This window comes from Homo sapiens, chromosome 14 (genome assembly GCF_000001405.40).
Source record: "Homo sapiens chromosome 14, GRCh38.p14 Primary Assembly".
In the NCBI taxonomy this organism is placed as follows: domain Eukaryota; kingdom Metazoa; phylum Chordata; class Mammalia; order Primates; family Hominidae; genus Homo; species Homo sapiens.
Genome location: NC_000014.9, coordinates 63,618,984 through 63,640,150, shown reverse-complemented (window position 1 = coordinate 63,640,150; position 21,167 = coordinate 63,618,984). Strand labels below are relative to the sequence as shown.

The window sequence follows — 21,167 nt, the reverse complement described above, 5'->3', positions numbered from 1 at the left end:
GAAACGTCTATGGACTGCTTATCTCCTTGTTCAGTATTCAGGAATACTTTCCTGTGAATGCAGCTATGTTACTTACCTGGTTTGTATTCTTACCTTAGATTGTTGTAGCTATTGTAAAGCAAAAGTAAGATCAAGCCCATGTAACTACTTTTTGGGTTCTTTTCTCTCACTTTGTAAATACAGGGTGTTTTTCCAGACGGGAGTGCGGTGGCACAGTCTTAGCTCACTGCAGCCTCGAACTTCTGAGCTCAAGTGATCCTCCTGCCTCAGCCTCCCAAGTGGCAGGGATTACACACGAGCCACTGTGCCAAACCCGTGAAGTTTTTGAGTTGTACTTTTGTACTAAAGTCATGACTACTTTTTCTGCAACTGACACTATGAGCTGCAAATACGACTGAAGATGCTACTGCTTTTTTACTTTTTCCCTATGTGCTTTAAAGAACTACATTTTCAGTGATTTCCATGTGTTTAAGATATTTTCATTTACTTGGTAGAAAATACAAGAGAATTTTGATAAATCTGAACTGGAATGGTCTTTATGTTAATTCTGTTCAATATTTTAGGGCAGATTATGTACAGATTATCGCCAAACTGTCAAAAGGGTGTATTTTGTTCATATAGCTACTGTAACAAATTACAACAGATTTAGTGACTTCGAATAACACACATTTATTCTTTCTGCCTTTGTTTCTTTCTTTTTTTTTTTTCCTTTGGTGAAAAGTACACACTTAAGAAAGGGGAGTGCAGATGTACTCAAGAGAGTCACCTCTTCCTTTTTTTTTTTTTTTTTTTTGGTAGAGATGAGGTCTCGCTATGTTGCCCAGGTGGGTCTCAAACTCCTGGGCTCAAGCAGTCCTCCCACCTTGGCCTCCCAAAGTTCTGGCATTACTGGCATGAGCCACCATGCTCAGCCTCATTTATTGTCTTTTAGTTCTGGAGGTCAGAAGTATGAAATCAGTTTCACTGGACTAAAGTCAAAGTGTTGCAGGCCCAATTCCTTCTGGAGGCTGTGAGAAGAAAATCCATTTCCTTACCTTTTTCAGCTTGTAGTGGCTGCCTGTCTTCCTTGGCTTGTGGCTCTTTTCTGCACAGGACATCATGCTATCATCATACCACTTTCTCATCTGTAGTCACATCTCCCTCTGCCTCTCTTATGAGGACATTTGTGATTATATTAAGGACCCCCCCAGATAAACAAGGATACTCTCTCCATCTCAACATACTTTGTAAAGTCCCTTTTGTCATATAATGAAACAGTCATAGATTCCAGGAATTAAGACCTTTGTATCTTTGAGGGCCAGTGTTCAGCCTACCACAGGAAGGTATAAAGAAGAGTAAAACATCCTATCCCATAAAGTCTCACAGGGACTATAAGAGAAAAACAAATTCACAGTAAATGGTTGCTGAGTTAGACTTTCTTATTACTGTGAAAATAACCTAAGTCACCACAGGTTGGAGCTTCGCCAATTTTTCCACTGGAATATCTTTAATAGCAAAGGTAAATGAATATTCCTGTGATATTTGGAAACAAAGCCTGAATTAATGCTTTAGAAGAGTAAAATTTCTTTGAATTCTAATCTTATAATTTAAAATTTTATGTGACTTTTGCATTCAGTTTTATATGTTCATGGTTGATGCTGTTTTGAATTATATTTAAGCATTGCTGTTCTAGAGAAAAGACTGTTTATTCTGTAGTTTCATTATTGTTTTACTTTTAAATTTATTTTTAGAGATAGGGTTCTCACTATGTTGCCTATGGTGGACTCAAACTCTTGGGCTCAACTGATGTTCCCACGTAAGCCTCCTAGCTGGGACTATGGGCATGCAACCCAGTGCCCAGCTAATGTAGCTTCTTGTAATTTTCTTTTTTGGGGGGGCAGTGACTTTTTTTTAAAACTTACTTTTTGGCCAAGAACGGTGGCTCATGCCTGTAATCCCAGCACTTTGGGAGGCCGAGGCGGGTGGATTACCTGAGGTCAGGAGTTTGAGACCAGCCTGGCTAACATGGCAAAACCCTGTCTCTACTAAAAATACAAAAATTAGCCGGGGATGATGGTGCGTGCCTGTAGTCCCAGCTACTGGGGGGCTGAAGCAGGAGGATCACTTGAACCTGGGAGGCGGAGGTTGCAGTGAGCCAAGATCGTGCCACTGCACTCCAGCCTGGGTAACAGAGCGAGGCTGTTTTGAAAAAAAAAAAATTTTTCCGTAAGTTATTGGGGTACAGGTGGTATTTGGTTATATGAGTAAGTTCTTTAGTGATGATTTGTGAGATTTTGGTGCACGTATCACCTGAGTAGTATACACTACACCATATTTGTAGTCTTTTAATCCCTTGCCCCCCCTCCCCCGGCCAAGTCCCCAAAGTCCATTGTATCATTCTTATGCCTTTGTGTCCTCATAGCTTAGCTCCCACATATCAGTGAGAATATATGATGTTTGGTTTTCTATTCCTGAGTTACTTCACTTAGAATAATAGTCTCCAGTCTCATCCAGGTCATGGCAAATGCTGTTAATTCATTTCTTTTTATGGCTGTGTAGTATTCCATTATATATATACACATATATATACACACACATATATATACACACACACACACCCACCACAGTGTCTTTATCCACTTGTTGATTGATGGGCATTTGGATTGGTTCCACGATTATGCAGTTGTGAATTGTGCTGCTATAAACATGCGTGTGCAAGTATCTTTTTCAAATAATGACTTTTCCTCTGGGTAGATAACCCAGTAGTGGGATTGCTGGATCAAATGTTAGTTCTGCTTTTTAATTCTTTAAGGAATCTCCACACTGTTTTCCATAGTGGTTGCACTAGTTTACATTCCCACCAGCAGTGCGGAAGTGTTCCCTGTTTACCACATCCACGCCAGCATCTCTTGTTTTTTTATTCTTCACTTATGGCCATTCTTGCAGGAGTGTGGTGGTATCACATTGTGGTTTCGATTTGCATTTCCCTGATCATTAGTGATGTTGAGCATTTTTTCATAGGTTTGTTGGCCATTTGTATATCTTCTTTTGAGAATTGTCTCTTCATGTCCTTAGCCCACATTGTGATGGGCTTGTTTGTTTTTTTTCTTACTGATTTGAGTTCGTTGTAGATGCTGGATATTAGTCCTTTGTCAGATGTATAGATTGTGAAGATTTTCTCCCACTCTGTTGTTGTCTATTGACTCTGTTGACAATTCCTTTTGCTGTGCAAAAGCTCTTTAGTTTAATTATGTCCCAGCTATTTATCTTTGTTTTTATTGCATTTGCTTTTGGGTTCTTGGTCATGAAATCCTTGCCTAAGCCAATGTCTAGAAGGGTTTTTCCAATGTTGTCTTCTAGAATTGTTAGTTTCAGGTCTTAGGTTTAAGTCCTTAATCCATCTTGAGTTTATTTTTGTATAAGGTGAGAGATGAGGATCCAGTTTCATTTTTCCTCCATGTGGCTAGCCAATTATCCCAGCACCATTTGTTGAAAAGGGTGTCCTTTCCCCACTTTATGTTTTTGTTTGCTTTGTCGAAGATCAGTTGGCTGTAAGTATTTGGGTTTATTTCTGGGTTCTCTATTCTGTTCCATTGGTCTGTGTGCCTATTTTTATACCAGTACCATGCTGTTTTGGTGACTATGGCCTTATGGTATAGTTTGAAATCAGTTAGTGTGATGCCTCCAGATTTGTTATTTTTGCTTAGTCATGCTTTGGCTATGCGGGCTCCTTTTTGGTTCCATATGAATTTTAGGATTGTTTTTTCTAGTTCTGTGAAGAATGATCGTGGTATTTTGATGGGGATTGCATTGAATTTGCACATTGCTTTTGGCAGCATGGTCATTTTCACAATACTGATTCTACCCGTCCATGAACATGGGATGTGTTTCCATTTGTGTTGTCTATGATTTCTTTCAGCAGTGTTTTGTAGTTTTCCTTGTAGAGGTCTTTTGACTCCTTTGTTAGGTATATTCTTTTTTTCTTCTTTCTTTTTTGAGATAGAGCCTTGCTCTGGCTCACTGCAACCTCCACCTCCCGAGTTTGAGCAGTTCTCCTGCCTGAGCCTCCCAAGTAGCTGGGACTACAGGTGTGCACTACCACGCCTGACTGATTTTTTTGTATTTTTGATAGAGATGGGGTTTCACCATGTTGGCCAGGCTGGTCTCGAACTCCTGACCTCAAGTGATCCACCTGCCCCGGCCTTCCAAAGTGCTGGGATTATAGGCTTGAGCCACTACCCAGCCTGTTAGGTATATTCCTAAGTTTTGTTTGTTTGTTTGTTTTTGCAGCTATTGTAAAAGGGGTTGAGTTCTTGATTTGATTCTCTGCTTGGTCGCTGTTGATGTATAGAAGAGCTACTGATTTGTGTACATTAATCTTGTATCCAAAAGTTTTGCTGGATTCTTTTATCAGTTCTAGGAGCTTTCTGGAGGAGTCCTTACAGTTTTCAAGGTAATTGACCATGTCTTCAGCAAACAGTGACAGTTTGACTTCCTCTTTATTGATTTGGATGCCCTTTATTTCTTTCTGTTGTCTAATTCCTCTGGCTAGGACTTCCAGTAGTACATTGAGGAGGAGTGGTGAGAGTGGGCATCCTTGTCTTGTTCCAGTTCTCAGAGGGAATGCTTTCAGCTTTTCCCCATTCAGTATTATGTTGGCTGTGGTTTGTCATAGATGGTTTTTATTACATTAAGGTATGTCCCTTATATGCTGATTTTGCTGAGAGTTTTAATCATAAAGGGATGCTGGATTTTGTCAAATGCTTTTTCTGTATCTATTGAGATGATCATGTGATTTTTGTTGTTAATTCTGTTTATGTGGTACATCACATTTATTGACTTGTGTATGTTAAACCATCCCTGCATTCCTGGTATGAAACCTACTTGATCATGGAGGATTATCTTCTTGATATGTTGTTGGATTCAGTTAGCTAGTATTTTGTTAAGGATCTTAGCATTTATGTTCATCAAGGATATTGGTCTATAGTTTTGTTTTTTGGTTATGTCCTTTCCTGGTTTTGGTATTAGGGTGATGCTGGCTTCATAGAATGAATTAGGGAGAGTTCCTTTGTTATCTTGTGGAATAGTGTCAAAAGGATTGGTACCAATTCTTTGAATGTCTGGTAGAATTCTGCTGTGAATCCATTTTTTTTTTTTTTGGAGACAGAGTGTAGTGGCACAATCTCAGCTCACTGCAACCTCTGCCTCTAGGTTCAAGCGATTCTCCTGCCTCAGCCTTCGAAGTAGCTGGGACTACAGGCACGCACCACCATGCCCAGCTAATTTTTTTTTTTTTTTTTTGAGATGTAGTTTCGCTTTTGTTGCCCAGACTGCAGTGCAATGGTGCGATCTTGGCTCACCGCAACCTCCGCCTCCTGGGTTCAAGCGATTCTCCTGCCTCAGCCTTCCCAAGTAGCTGGGATTATAGGCATGTGCCACCATGCCTGGCTAATTTTGTATTTTTAGTAGAGATGGGGTTTCACCATATTGACCAGGCTGGTCTCAAACTCCTGATCTTAGGTGATCTGCCTGCCTCAGCCTCCGAAAGTGTTGGGATTACAGGCGTGAGCCACTGTGCTCAGCCTTGTTTTTTCTTTAAGCTATCTATTTCCCTGAATATTTCTCCCTTCACTTCTCTTTTTTTTTTTTTGAGAGGGAGTCTCGCTCTGTCGCCCAGGCTGGAGTGCAGTGGCACGATCTTGGCTCTCTGCAACCTCTGCCTCCTGGTTCAAGTAGTTCTCCCTGTCTCATCCCTCAGAGTAGCTGGGATTACAGGCACCCACCACCAGGCCCAGCTAATTTTTGTATTTTTAGTAGAGAAGGGGTTTCACCATGTTGGTCAGGCTGGTAACGAGCTCCTGACATCAGGTGATCCACCCGCCTTGGGCTCCCAAAGTGCTGGGATTACAAGTGTGAGCCACCACACCTGGCCAGTTTTTGTGTTTTTAGTAGAGACAGGGTTTCGCCATGTTGGCCAAGCTGGTCTCGAACTCCTGGACTGAAGTGATACACCTGCCTCGGCCTCCCAAAGTGTTGGGTTTATAGGTGTGAGCCACTGTGCCCGGCCTGAAATTTAAGTAATTATTAATATGGTAAACATCTTTCTATTTGGAGATTGGAATTATGTCCTGATGATTTTTTACAGTTCTCGTAATTTTAATTTTTGGACCTCCTGCTAGATGGCAGTAGTAATCAATGCCAAGGGCCAGGAAGGAAACTTTTAAAACGGTTTGATAGCTTAAGTCTAATTCTTATGTTTAGTGAAGTTGCAACTGACCGTACATGATTTTCAGTTCTTTTTATCCTTCACATCTGATCTACAAAGCACATGTGAACTTTTTATCCTCTTAATATCCGTTTTTTTCTGGATAGTTCAATAATTATGCCTTTTGTTTGTTATTTCTCTGATATCAGGGTCTTTTACTGTGTTCAGTAGAGAGGAAATGAGTTTAGAACTTAGTAGATTCTGATCTTCCCTCATTATAACACCAAAGTGGTTAAAAGAACTAGTTCTGCTATATCTTTACATGAATATTATACAAGCTATAAATATTTACATTTAGGGATGTGTTTTGATTTCTATTTCAACGTAGTCCTTTTGAATGGTCTCCTAATTTGGAAAATTAAATAGTGAATCAACCTCAAAATGCAAAACAAAGTCTGTAGCTGTCAATAAATATTTATAAAATATTGCTTTATTGTCTGAGAGATATGTTTACATGATTATAAACTATCCAGTGTCAGGAAAAGCCTCATTCTGGCTTAATCTTATTTCATCTACCAATTAACAGTGGAAATTTTAAAAATCATTAATATGTTAAAGTGTCTTTCTGCTTGATGAATTAGGGTAGCATTTTTAGGGGAACATTTGTATTGTGAATTCACCTTAGAAGCATCTAGTCTATATACATACATAAATATATATATATACTTACACACATATTTATACATAAAAGGGGTGGAAATCCTGTCAAATACTAGTTTATTCTGCAGGTTATCATTTGACATTACATATTGCATTTCTTTAACATTCTCTATACTCCCACCTAGTGGTATATGAGTGCTGCTTTTGTGCCAGGCACCATTTAACATGGTAATTAATTTATGAAACCCTATGGCATTGATATTGCTATCTCCTGTTTAAACTACAGGAAACTGAAACATATAGTTAGTAAAGCCAGGATTTGTGCTCTGGCAGTCTGACTCTATACCCATTCTCAGCTATCATGCAATACCTGTCTCAGCTTCCTCATCTAAAACACTGTAATAAAAGGACTATCTTTTAGGATTATTGGGAGGGTTCATTGAAGCAATTCATGTGCAGAGGCTGACATGGTAACCGAGAATGGTAATGATCAGTTAATATTAGCTGTCATTTGGCTACTTTTCTGGTTTTCTTCCCATTCTTTTTTCATTTTTCTCTATTATAGGGTGCTTGGCCTGCTGCTTGCCATCATTCTGTATAATTCATCTGCTATCATTCTGTATAATTCATCTGTATAATTCATCCAGTTTCCTAGTTTGGGTTTTTGTTTGTTTGAGACGGAGTCTTGCTCTATCATCCATGCTGGAGTGCAGTGGTGTGATCACGGCTCACTGCAACCTCCACCTCCCGGGTTCAATTGATTCTCGTGCCTTAGCCTCCCTAGTAGCTGAGACTACAGGTTTGCGCCACCATGCCTGGCTAATTTTTGTATTTTTTTAAGTAGAGACGGGTTTCACCATGTTGGCCAGGCTGGTCTTGAACTCCTGGCCTCAGATGATCCATCCACCTCAGCCTCCCAAGGTGCTGGGATAAGGGGCAGGAGCCATCACGCCCGGCCTACTTTCCTAGTTTTTAAGTGCTGCTACTTCCTATAGTCTGATAACAGAATCCCGTACTTTCCCTCTGAGTTGTAGACTGATGTATACAAATGTTTGTCCTTGGCCATCCCCAGAAGTCCCTCAGGCTTATATGAGTAAAACTAAGGGCATTTCTTTGTTTTTTTTCCCCCCATTTTCTTGATTTTTGGATTTACTTTTTTTTGTTTTTAGTTTTTTTTTTGTTTGTTTGTTTTTTTGAGGCAGAGTCTCCCTCTGTTGCTCAGGCTGGAGTGCAGTGGTGCACTGTCGGCTCACTGCAGCCTTCACCTCCCAGGTTCAAGCAATTCTCCTGTCTTAGCCTCCCAAGTAGCTGGGATTACAGGCGTGTCCCATCACGCCCGGCTAATTTTTCTGTTTTTAGTAGAGACGGGTTTTCGCCAGGTTGGCCAGGCTGGTCTCAAACTCCTGGCCTCAGGTGATCTGCCTGCCTAGGCCTCCCAAAGTGCTGGGATTACAGGCGTGAACCACCGCACCTGGCCTGGATTTACTTTCTGACTCAACTCCGCTTGGTCATCCAATGCAAGAATCAGCCTGGATTCCTTCTGCACCTGTTCCTCCCCCGTGCTTCCAAATCGAGTCAGTGCCAAGCTTCACTAATGTTAACTTGCTGAATATTTCTCTGGCCAGGTGTGGTGGCTCACATTTGTAATCCCAGGTACAAGAGACTGGGAGGTTGAGGCAAGAGAATCACTTGAGCTCAGGAGTTCAGGAACAGCCTGAGCAACATAGCAAGACCTCATCTCTACTAAAAATTAAAAAAAAATTTTTTTTTTTAATTGGCCAGGCGTGGTTGTGTGCACCTGTATTTTCAGCTACTTGGAAGGCTGAGGTGGCACGATTGCTTGAGCCTGGGAGATTGAGCCTGCAGTGAGTGGCAGTTGCACCACTGCACTCCAGCCTGGGCCACAGAGTTAAGACTCTGTGCAAATAAATAAATAAATAGTCAAACTATAATACAGTATTCACAGTGAATAGAAGCAAAAAGAAAGAAAAGAAAAATATTTCTCAAATTCGCCTTTTTTCTCCATTCCTACTGTTGGGAACTCCATTATCTCTTTTAGTTTGATTTTTAGTTGACACATAATGTACATATTTCTGGGATATAGTGTGATGTTTTGATATACGTATACTTCGTGTAATGATCAAATCAAGTTAATTAGTGTCTCCGTCATCTCACATGTTGATCACTTTGTGGTGAGAACATGCAACAGTCCTCTCCTATCTATTTTGAAATAGACAGTACAGGCTGGGCCCAGTGGTTCCCACCTATAATCCCAGCACTTGGGAGGCTAAGGCCAGAGGATTTTTTAAGACCAGGTCTGGCAACATAGTGAGACCTTGTGTCTACAAAAAAAATATTAAAAAATTAGCTGGGGCATGGTGGCATCACCTGTAGTCCCAGGTACTCAGGAGGCTGGGGTGGGAGGATTGAGACTGCAATGAGCTGTGTTTGTGCCACTACACTGCATCCTGGACAACAGTGCAAGACTGTGTCTCACAAAAAAAAAAAAAAAGGACAATACATTTAAAAATATGGAATACTTCATGAATTTTCATGTCATCCGTGTGCAAGGGCCATGCTCATCTCTGTGGCCTTCTGATTTTAGTATGTGTGCTGCCAAAGCAAGCACTCCGTATCCTTGTCTGGACTTTTTTTTTTTTTTGTGAGACAGAGTCTCGCCCTGTCGGCCAGGCTGGAGTGCAATGACACAATCTTGGCTCACTGCAACCTCCACCTCCTGGGCTCAAGCAATTCTCCTGCCTCAGCGTCCCGAGTAGTTGGGATTACAGGCGTGGGCCACCATCCCGGCTAATTTTTGTAATTTTTAGTAGAGACGGGGTTTCACCATGTTGGCCAGGCTGGTCTCGAACTCCTGACCTCAGGTGATCCTCCCGCCTTGGCCTCCCAAAGTGCTGTGATTACAGGCGTGAGCTACCGCGCCCAGCCCCTTGTCTGGACTTTTTAATGGCCTCTATGGTCTCCCAACCTTCAGCCTTACCTCTCCCTATTTAAATCCATCTTCTACATTGTAAATGTGAGCAATTTAATATGTGACTCTGGGTTGGGTGCAGTGGCTCACGCCTGTAATCCCAGCACTTTGGGAGGCCGAGGCAGGTGGACCACCTGATGTCAGGAGTTCGAGACCAGCCTGGCCAACATGGGGAAACCCCGTCTCTACCAAAAATACAAAAATTAGCCGGGCATGGTGGCATATGCCTATAGTCCCAGCTACTTGGGAGGTTGAGACAGGAAAATCGCTTGAACCTGGGAGGCAGCAGTTGCAGTGAGCCAAGATCACGCCATTGCACTCCAGCCTGGGTGACAAGGCGAGACTCCATCTCAAGAAAAAAAAATGTGTTTATGACTCTGAATATGTAATATTTTTGCTACCGACCCCTTCCAATTCATTTATTTATTCAAATAGTTTAACGTAGCTGCTGTAGGTAAAAATAAGATACTGCTTTAGTCATTCCCTGTAACACACTGAATGTTCTAACTCCTTTCTTACCGAATTGGTTCTGTGAGAAGAAATAAAAAAAATAAAGTTTGACGTTTTAGTTGGGTATACAAGATAGACAACTCTAAGACCTGCCCTGCTGCTTGCTTCAATGTCGTCTCCTTTCCCATCCAACATCACACATTATGATCAGCAATACTAAACTTTCTCTTCTTCCCTTGCTTCCAGTACTTTTCATGCTTGTCTGTCCTCATAGTCAGCATATGAAAATGTTCAGTGACCAGACATGAGTAACAGACATTGTGGACTGTGGAAGATCCTGAACGCTAAGTCAAGAAAGTAAACTGTTCCTGAGGGAGAAAGGAAGAACCACTGATTGTCAGACTTTGCTATCATTCATGGAAATTGGGAGCATGGGTTGAAGAGAGAAACTAATGAAGTAAATTTTGGATAATCTGAATTTTAAGTTCTGGCAGCACATGTAGCAAGCATTTAAGAATACAAGAGCTTCAGAAAGAGAATAAAGAGATGAAGTTTGGAGTTAAAGATCTGGAAGTGATTATACTAAAGACTTGATCTGGTATATGCAAAATTAATATTTGAAAATGGAAAGGGACAAATGTTCTGCTTAAATCCACTAATGCTTTGAGGGCAGAATCAAGTTCTAGTTATCACTGTCCCTCTAGCACCTAGAAGAGTGCCTAACACTGATGTTTAATTATTAAACATTCTACTAAGCTTGGGTTGCAGTGGGATTCAAGGAGAAGGCAACCCAAGAAAGTGATGAAGGGAAGAACATTTTAGGACATCACCAGGGATGGAGAGTTGGTATTTCAAACTTTGACTAATAAGAGTTTGTGTAAAGTCCTTACTACAGGCAAACATCGTTTTTTGTTTTTTGTTTTTTTTTTGAGACAGGGTCTCACATTGTCACCCAGGCTGCTGGAGTATAGGTGCCCCCAGACTCAAGCAATCCTCCCACCTTAGCCTCCCAAGTTGCTGGGACCACAGGCATGCACGTCACCATGCCTGGCTAATTTTTTGTACTTTTGATAGGGATAGGGTTTCACCATGTTGCCCAGGCTGGTCTCAAACTCCTAGGCTGAGGCAGTCCTGCCTTGGCCTCCCAAAGTGTTGGGATCACAGGCGTGAGCCACCGCACCCGGCCAGTGGCCTTTATTATTATTTTTTTCTTTTTCTTAAGGTTGACATCAAATTGCTAGGATCACAGCTACTTCTCCAGAGATTTGCATTGCTCACTTTTTAAATTAGGTTGTCTCCCCAAATGTTACATCTCTAGGGTCTGTCCTAGCCATCTTATCTAAAAGATCTTGACCCCATCTCATCTATTATCATCACGTTACATACCTTAAATTCTGGTTTATTTTTCTTCATAGAGCTTGCCAATTTTCTTGTTATATATTTCTTTATAGCTGAGTTGAAATGATGAATGAATGTTGCAGCCTAAGAATAACAGTCAACTCAGTAAAACTGTTAGAACAAAATTACAGCATTTCTTTGGTCAGCGAAAATTCTCATCAGATATTTTATGAGTACAGTTATAAATTCTAAAAAAGAAACTAAGTTTTTAAACTATTTTAGATTTTTTTTGAGACAAGGTCTTGCTCTGTTGCCTGGACTGGAGTGATCATGGTTCACCTGATTGATCGCATAGCCTCGACCTCCCAGGCTTAAGCAATCCTCCCTCTTCAGCTCCCCCAAGTAGCTGAGATTGCAGGTGCACACCACCACGTTCGGCTGATTTTTAAACTTTTTGTAGAGAATGGAATCTCGCTATGTTGCCTGGCCTGGTCTCAAACTCCTGGGCTCAAGGGAGCCTCCCACTTCAGCCTCCCAAGGTGCTGGGCTTACAGGCGTGAGCCACTGTGCTCAGCCTATTAGAGAAATTTAATCAAAAAAGTTACTAAAATTTCCAGTCAAGTATTGAAATAACTTTCTCTACTCGACCTCCTGGGCTCAAGCGATCCTCCTACCTCACCTTTCTGGTAGCTGGGACTGCAGGCATGTACCACCATACCCAGCTGAATTTTTTTTTTTTCATACAGTGAAATTTAATTCAGTGATACTCACTTATAAGAAGAAATGAGCTTTTAAGACACTGAAAGACATAGAGGAACTCCATGTGTTTATTCCTTCGTGAAGGAAACCAGAAAAAGCCACTTGCTTTATGATTCTAACCATTTGACATTCTGGAAAAGGCAAAACTAGAGAGAGAGTAAAAAGATAAATGGTTGATAAAGGTTCAGGATGAGCAGAGGGATGAATAGGCAGAACACAGGATTTTTAGGGTGGTGAAACAGTTATATAATGATGGATTCATTACATGTATTTGTCAAAACCTATAGAACTGTACAAAACAAAAAGTGAACCCTAAGGTAAACTATGGACTTTAATTTTTTTATAAAAGCTACTTAATGTTGTTTTATGTGGCAATACTCTAATTTGACCACTTCCCAATTAATGGATATTCAGGCTGTTAGGTTTTTTTGTTATTACAATTCTTTAATAAATATCCTTCCTTACATACGCATATATTTAATTTTGGATAGATGCTTATGGGAGATTGTTGGATTCAAGGAGACACATACTTCTAGTTTTATTATATAGTACCAGAATACTTGTCAAAAAGTTTAACATTTAGAGAGGAGAGAGAGAGAGAGAGAGAGAGAGAGAGAGAGTGTGTGTGTGTGTGTGTGTGTGTGTGTTTAGAGACAAAGTCTTATTCTGTCACCTAAGCTAGAGTGCGTTGACACAGTCATTGCTCACTGCAGCCTGGAACTCCTAGCCTCAAGTGATCCTCTGACCTCAGTTTCTTGGGTGGCTGGGACTACAGGTATACGCCATTACACCGAGCTAATTTTTGTATTTTTTTTGTAAGGACGGGTTCTCTTTGTGATACCCAGGCTGGTCTCAGACTCCTGGTCTCAAAGTGATCCTCCTGCCTTGGCCTCCCAAAGTGCTGGGATTACAGGTGTGAGCCACTGTGCCCAACCTAGAATGTTTACAGATGCCCATTTCCTGACACCCCATCAGCCTTGATGTTATCAGTGTTTTTAATTTTTGCCAACCTGATAGGTGAAAATGCATCTTATTTCCTCAACTGTTAGTAAGACGGAACTTTTTTTTTTTTTTTTTTTTTTTTTTTTTTTTTTGAGACAGTCTCACTCTGTAGCCCAGGCTGGAATGCAGTGGTGTGATCTTGGCTCACTGCAACCTCTGCCTCCCGGGCTCAAGCCATTTTCATGCCTCTCAGCCTCCTAAGCAGCTGGGATTACAGGCGTGCACCACCACACCTAGCTCATTTTTGTATTTTTAGTAGAGATGGGATTTTGCCATGTTGGCCAGGCTGGTCTCAAACTCTTGAGCTCATGTGATCGTGTTCTGCCCACCTTGGCCTCCCAAAGCGCTGGGATTACAGGCATTAGGCACCACGCCCGGCTGAGGTTGAACATCTTTTTACGTTTCTTGTTCATTAGAATTTTCCCTTTTATGACTTACTGCTTCTTTTAGCTATTATTTTTTGTTTGGATAAATTTCTTGCATAGTAAGGGTATTAACCTTTGATAGTGTGTTATGAAAATTTTCTTCCAATTTCAATTTTAACTATATTTTTAATACGTTTTACCTTATTTTAGTTATGTTTTTGTCTAATCAGGTCTCTCACTTTTTACCTTCATGGGTGGGTGTGGTGGCTCACACCTGTGATCCTAGCACTTTGGGAGGCCAAGGTGGGCGGATCACGAGGTCAGGAGATTGAGACCATCCTGGCCAACATGGTGAAACCCCATCTCTACTAAAGATACAAAAATTAGCTGGGTGTGGCAGTGCATGCCTGTAATCCCAGCTACTTGGGAGGCTGAGGAAGGAGAATCGCTTGAACCCGGGAGGCAGAGGTTGCAGTGAGCTGAGATCACGCTGCTGCTCTCGAGCCTGGTGACAGAGCTAGACTGTCTCAAAAAAAAAAAAAAAGTCCTCTTCTACTCCAAAATTGTATGTTTTGCTTCTTTGTGTTTAAAATGTGATTTTCCACATTTTCTACAATGAGCAGTTAAAATAGCACTAATTATTTATTTGTACTTATTTATTAAAATATAACTACTGTAAGGTCTACAAATCTAGGGTAGAGCTCAGTGAACTTTTACAAACAGAAGACATCTGTGCCACCAACACTCAAATCGGTACCAGCACCCAAGAAACCTCTTGGATGCCCCTTCCCAGTCATTCCCACTAAAGATAACCACCATTCTAATTTCCATCATCATACATTAGTTTTGCCTATGACTTTTTATGTTTTGTTTGCCTTTGGGCATGGGAGATCAGGTTTGTTAAAGTGTAATTTACATTCCATAAAATTTACCTTTTTAAACTTTGTAAGTATGTAGTTTGATGAATTGACATGTAAGTATGTAGTTTGATGAATTGTAAGTATGTAGTTTGATGAATACACAGTTGTGTAACCAGCACCCTGATTAAGATACAGAATATTTTCATCACCCAAAAAGTTTCCTTGTGCCCCTTAATAATCAATGGCCTCCCCACAACCTCAGCCCCTAACAACCAGTTCCTATAATTTTGCTTTTTCCAGAATGTTATTTAAATGGAATCATACAATATATACGCTTTTATGTTACATATATCTCTAGTTCCTTTTTTCTTGCAGAGTCAGATTCCATTATATATGTATGCCACAATTTGTTTTTCCCTTCAGCAGATGACAGATATTTCTCGGGGAGGGAGAGTCTTTGTTGTTTATTTTTTTGTGCTTAAGCTTACCCGTATTTCTGTTTTTTTCTAGGTATTTGGCTATTATAAATAAAATAGTGATGAACACGTGTACAGGTGTTTGTACGGACATAAGTTGTCATTTCTCTTGAGTAAATACCTAAAAGTGGGCTTGCTGGGTAAGTATGTATTTAACTTTTAAACAAACTGCCAAACCAGTTTCCAAAGTGGCTGTAACATTTTACCATCAGTGTATGAAAGTTCCTGTTGCTTTTGCATTTTTGCCAGAACTTGGTATTGTTAGTTCTTTTTAATTGTAGGCATTTTAGCAAATGTGTAATAATAGGTAATTATTAATATAATTTGCATATCCCTGATGACTAATATTATTGGGCTCCTCGTGCTTATTTGTCATTCATATATCTTCTTTGGTGAAGTGTCTGTTCAAATATTTTCCCATGTTTTAATTGAATTATTTGTCTTATAATTTGGTTGCAAGAATTCTTTATATATTCTGGATATAGCAACTTTATCAGATGGTGATTTGCAAATATGGTCTCCCAGTCTGTAGTTGGCATTTTCTTTTTTTTTTTTTAAATATTTCTTTTTGTTTTTTGTTTTGTTGTGGTTTTTTTTTTTTTGACAGGGTCTCACTCTGTGACCCAGGCTGAAGTGGCAGTGATGCAATCTCGGCTCACTACAAGCTCCACCTCCCGGGCTAAAGTGACCTCTTCATCTCAGCCTCCTGAGTAGCTGGGACTATAGGCATGCGCCACCATGCCTGGCTAATTTTTGTATTTTTGATGGAGATGGGGTTTTGCCATGTCACCCAGGCTGATCTTGAACTCCTGGACTCAAGCCATCCACCTCCCAGGCCTCCCAAAGTGCTGGGATTATAGGCGTGAGCCACCATGCTTGGCCTGTAGTTTGCATTTTCTTGACTGTTCAAAAGCAGGTTTTACATTTTAATTAAGTCAAAATTTTCTTTTGTGGTTTGTACTTTTTGTGTTTTAAGAGATCTTTGCCTAACCAAAGGTCATAGATTCCCTTTTTTCTCTTATAAGTTTTGTAGTTCTTGCTTTTACATTTAGGTCTATGATCCATTTTGAGTTAATATTCTCTGTTCTGACTTCTCATTTGTCTCATATTAGTAAAACATTGCAGCTTTCTTTTTATTAATATTTGCATGGTATATCTTTTTTCTATCCATTTCCTTTTAACCTATCTATGGCTTTATGTTTAAAATGGGTTTCTTTCAGATAGCATATAGTTGGGTCTTGCTTCTCTCTCCCCACCACCCCCATCCTGACAATCTCTGTCTTTTAAATAAGGTGTCATATTATTTTTATTTAATGTAATTGTTGGTGTGGTTGGATTTTTTTTTTTTTTTTTTTTTTTTTTTTGAGACAGAGTCTCACTCTGTCTCCCAGGCTGGAGTGCAGTGGTGTGAGCTCAGCTCACTGCAACCTCCGCCTCCTGGGTTCAAGAGATTCTCCTGCCCCAACCTCCCAAGTAGCTGAGATGACAGGCACATGCCACCACACTCGGCTAATTTTTGTAATTTTAGTGGAGACAGGGTTTCACCACGTTGGCCAGGCTGGTCTTGGACTCCTGACCTCAAGTGATCCACCCACCTCAGCCTCCCAAAGTGCTGGGATTACAGGCGTGAACCACCATGCCCGGCCAGGTATAGTTGGATTTAAATCTACCTTCTTACCAGTTGTTTTTATATTTTCTGTTTTTCTCATCAGTTCTTTATTTCTTTTTTCATCTTTTTCTTTTTGATTGGGTACTTTTTCTCTATGATTGGTTTTGGTTTGTGAATTTACTGTTTAATATTTTGTGTGTTTGTTTGTTTGAAGTGGTTAGTCTAGGGTTTACTATATGCATTTTTTTTTTTTTTTTTTTTGAGACCTGGTTTTTCTGTGTCACCCAGACTGGAGTGCAATAGGGCGATCTGGGTTCACTGCAACCTCTGTCTCCCACGCTCAAGTTATCCTCCCACCTAAGCTCCTGAGTAGCTGGGACTACAGGCACCTGCCACTGTGCCTGGCTAATTTTTATATTTTTTGTAGAGATGGAGTTTTGCCATTTTGCCCAGCTGGTCTCGAACTCCTAGGTCGAAGTGACCCACCCACCTTGGCCACCCAAAGTGCTGGGATTACAGCGTGAGCCACTGTGCCTGGCCCATTATATCCTTTTTGACTTGTTAAAATCTAGCTTCGAATAATGTGATACCATTTTATGGTGTAAGAATTGTACAACATTATCCTTCCACTTCCCTCCTCTCATCCTGTCACTATTATTGTCATGCATTTTATTTATTTACTTATTTATTTAGAGATGGAGTCTTGATCTGTTGCCCAGGGTGGAGTGCTGTGAGCTAATCTCAGCTCACTGCAGCCTCTGCCTCCCAGGTTCAAGCAATTCTTGTGCCTCAGCCTCCCGAGTAGCTGGGATTACAGGCACCTGCCACCATGCCTGGCTACTTTTGGTTTTTTTGTTTGTTTGATTGTTTGTTTTTTTGAGATGAAGTCTCGCTCTGTTGCCCAGGCTGGAGTGCAATGGCATGGTCTCGGCTCACTGCAACCTCCACCCCCTGGGTTCAAGCGATTCTCCTGTCTCAGCCTCCCAAGTAGCTGGGATTATAGGCATGTGCCACCACGCCCAGTTAATTTTTTTGTATTTTTGTAGAGAAGGGCTTTCACCATGTTGGCCTGGCTGGTCTCGAACTCCTGACCTCAGGTGATCCACCCGCCTCAGCCTCCCAAAGTCCTGGGATTACAGGCATGAGCCACCACGCCCGGCTGCCTGGCTACTTTTTTTGTATTTTTAGTAGAGACGTGGTTTCACCTTGTTGGCCAGGCTAGTCTTGAACTCCTGACCTCAGGTGATCCACCCACCTCGGCCTTCCAAAGTGCTGGGATTACAGGCATGAGCCACCGCATCTGACTGGTGCACTTTACTTTGACCTGTCATAAATCCCTTGGTTTGTTATTACTAGTTTTTACTTTAGACAGCAATTATCTTTCAAGGAAAAATTTAAAAGGAAAAAATGTCTTATATTTACCCTCATGTTTACCATTCCCAGTGCTCTTTATTTCTTTATGTCAATCCGGATTTCAATTTGTTATCATACTGTTTCTGCCTGAATAACAGTTTAACAGCAACAGTTTTGCTGGCAGTGAATCTTCTCAGTTTGTGTTTTTCTGATCGTATTTCTTGTTTGTCTTTTTGAAGACTAGTCAAGTGCAGTAGTGAGAAGAGGGGAAGAGTGGAACAGGGAGTTTGACCTGTAACTGACTGTGAGCAATCAGTTGGGATAACTCACTGCCTTTGGACCAGACTGATAGTCTTTCTTTTATACTCTTTTTCAGAAGGCATTTTTGCTGGGTACAGAGCTTTGTGTTGGTAGGTTTTTCTGTCCTTTTGGTGTTTAAAATTATCATTCCTTTGTCCTCTGGCTTGCATAGTTTTTGATGCGAAGACTGTAGTAATTCTTTTTTTTTGAGACAGAGTCTTGCTCTGCCACTCAGGCTGCAGTGCAATCGTGTGATCTCATCTCACTGCAACCTACACCTCCTGGGTTCAGGCGATTCTCCTGCTTTAGCCTCCCTAGTAGCTGGGATTACAGGTGCCTGCCACCATACCCAGCTAATTTATGTATTTTTAGTAGAGATGGGGTTTCACCATGTTGGTCAGGCTGGTCTCGAACTCCTGACCTCAGGTGATCCACCTGCCTCAGCCTCCCAAAGTGCTGCAAAAGGCAGAGGTTGTAGCCAGCCGAGATTGCGAGATTGTGCCACTGCACCCCAGCCTGGGCAACAGAGTGAGACTCTGTCTCCAATAATAATAATGCTACTATGAAATTTATGTATAAGTTTTTTTGCACGAACATATGTTTAGCTTTATGAGAAACTGCCAAAGTGTTTTCCACAGAGGCTGCTACATTTTACATTCCCACCAGCAATATAGAAGGGTTCCAGTTTCTTCACATTCTTTTTAAAAAAATGTATTTTTTAATTAACAAATAAAAGTTGTATATATTTATGGAGTACAGCAAGATGTTTTGATATGTGTATACATTGCGGAATGACTAGATCAAGCCAATTAACATACCCACTGCCTTACATACATTTTTTTGGGTGTGGTGAGAACATTGAAAATCTACTCTCCTAGCAACTCTTGGCAATTTTTTTTTTTTTTTTTGAGATGGAGTCTCGCTGTGTCACCCAGGCTGGAGTGCAGTGGCACAGTCTCAGCTCACTGCAACCTCCACCTCCCAGGTTCAAGTAATTTTCATGCCTTAGCCTCCTGAGTAGCTGAGACTACAGGTACTTGCCACCATGCCCAGCTAATTTTTTTATTTTTATTTTTTATTTTTAGTAGAGATGGGGCTTCACCATATTGGCCAGGTTGGTCTCAAACTTCTGACTTCAAGCAGTCCGCCTGCCTTGGCCTCCCAAAGTGTTGAGATTACAGGCATGAGCCACTGTGCCTGCCCCCTCTTAGCAATTTTCAAATGTACAGTACATTGTTACTAACTGTAGTCACCATATTATACAGTAGAGCTCTTGAACTTACTCCTCTTTCCAAGTGAAATTTTATACCCTTTGATCGACATCTCCCTGATTCTCCCTCCTCCCCAGCCCTGATTAACTACCTATCTACTGTCTGCTTCCATGGGTTTGACTGTTTTAGATTTCACATATAGATATGTACGTTTGTATATATACACACATCTAGATGAGATCATGTGGTATTTGGCTTTCTATATCTGGCTTTAGTTTATAATATAATGTCCTGCAAATTTATCCCTGTTTCACAAATGACAGGATTTTGTTCTTTTTTAAGGCTGAGGTAGTATTCTATTGTGTATGTACACAAATGTGTACCCGAGTAGCTGGGATGACAGGTGCACACCACCACGCTCGGCTAATTTTTGTATTTTTATACCACATTTTCTTTATTCATCAACTGATGAACACTTAGATTGATTCTATATCTTAGCTGTTGTGAAAAAATGCTGCAGTGAACCTGGGAGTACAGATATCTCTTTGACATACTGATTTCTTCTTTTTCTTTTTTTTTTTTTTTTTTTTGAGATGGAGTCTCGCTCTGTCACCCAGCCTGGAGTGCAGTGGCACGATCTTGGCTCACTGCAAGCTCCGCCTCCCAGGTTCAAGTGATTCTCCTGCCTCAGCTTCCTGAGTAGCTTGGATTATAGGCACGTGCTACCATGTCCAGCTAATTTTTGTATTTTCACTAGAGATGGGGTTTCACTATGTTGGCCAGGCTGATCTCAAACTCCTGACCTCAAGTGATCCTCCTGCCTTGGCCTCCCAGAGTGCTGGGAATACAGCCGTAAGCCACGGTGCCCAGCCTATTTTTAATTTTTTTAGGAACCTTCATACTGGTTTCCATTTTGGCTGTACTATAGTTTCTTTACATTTTTGCCAATACTTGTTGTCTTCTGTTTTGAGGGGTGCTTAAAAATAACCAATTCATAATTATTTTAGTTTTTTTGTTTGCTTTTAAGCCTTGTCAAGTGAAGCAGTGGGAGTGTGTACTTACACTATTAGTAGGTGTATAGTATATATCTGAGTGTTCTCTGGGTTTTTTTCTGTTTTTTGCCTCATTTCTTGATAACTTGTTGGTATTTCTCTGTCTCTTTAAAATTGCATTCTGTACATCATGTATAGAAGAATAGTAGAGACTAAGCTAAATAGCATTTAGCCTTGGAAATGGATACCTGTGCTTCTATCAGACTGTGAGTGTTGGGGCTTGAACAGTCTAGCCTGGTTTGGGTTTTGGTGTTACTATAGTTAACATTTATATACCAAAAACTTCAAATTCCTTCAGCTATGAGCTGTTACTATCTTGTGCTTAGCGTCAGGCCTGGGATGCTGGAGAGTTTTCTCCTTGTTGCTGCTCCACTCAGTCCCAGCAGGCCCCAACAGGAGGTTTCTCTCCATGCTCTTCCCCACCACCTGCCGACCGTTGGTGCTCTTTCCACAGCGTAAGGCTTGGCAGAAGTAGGGAGGCATTCGCTCCATGATTTTTAAAAATACGCACACATAAAATATCTCTGTTCTAGACCCACATTTCATTGTTAACTTGACC

At 40.9% G+C, this 21,167-nt stretch overlaps 1 protein-coding gene and 1 pseudogene across 10 annotated transcripts in view; one reads left to right on the top strand and one right to left on the bottom strand.

Annotated features, from left to right (window-relative positions):
• WDR89 (WD repeat domain 89) overlaps positions 1-21,167 on the top strand; it is a 44,833-nt gene that overhangs the window by 1,721 nt on the left and 21,945 nt on the right. For 7 of the 10 annotated variants that reach the window (NM_080666.4, NM_001382424.1, NM_001382427.1 and 4 more), the window contains one exon: positions 15,118-15,223. The gene's annotated coding sequence lies outside the window, so the exon portion shown is untranslated. Of the gene's footprint in view, positions 1-10,529; positions 10,882-15,117; positions 15,224-18,421; positions 18,456-21,167 lie in introns of all 10 variants that reach the window. The other 3 variants (NM_001382423.1, NM_001382429.1, NM_001382425.1) reach the window with 2 other exon arrangements.
• Positions 9,370-9,473, bottom strand: RNU6-1162P (RNA, U6 small nuclear 1162, pseudogene; annotated as a pseudogene).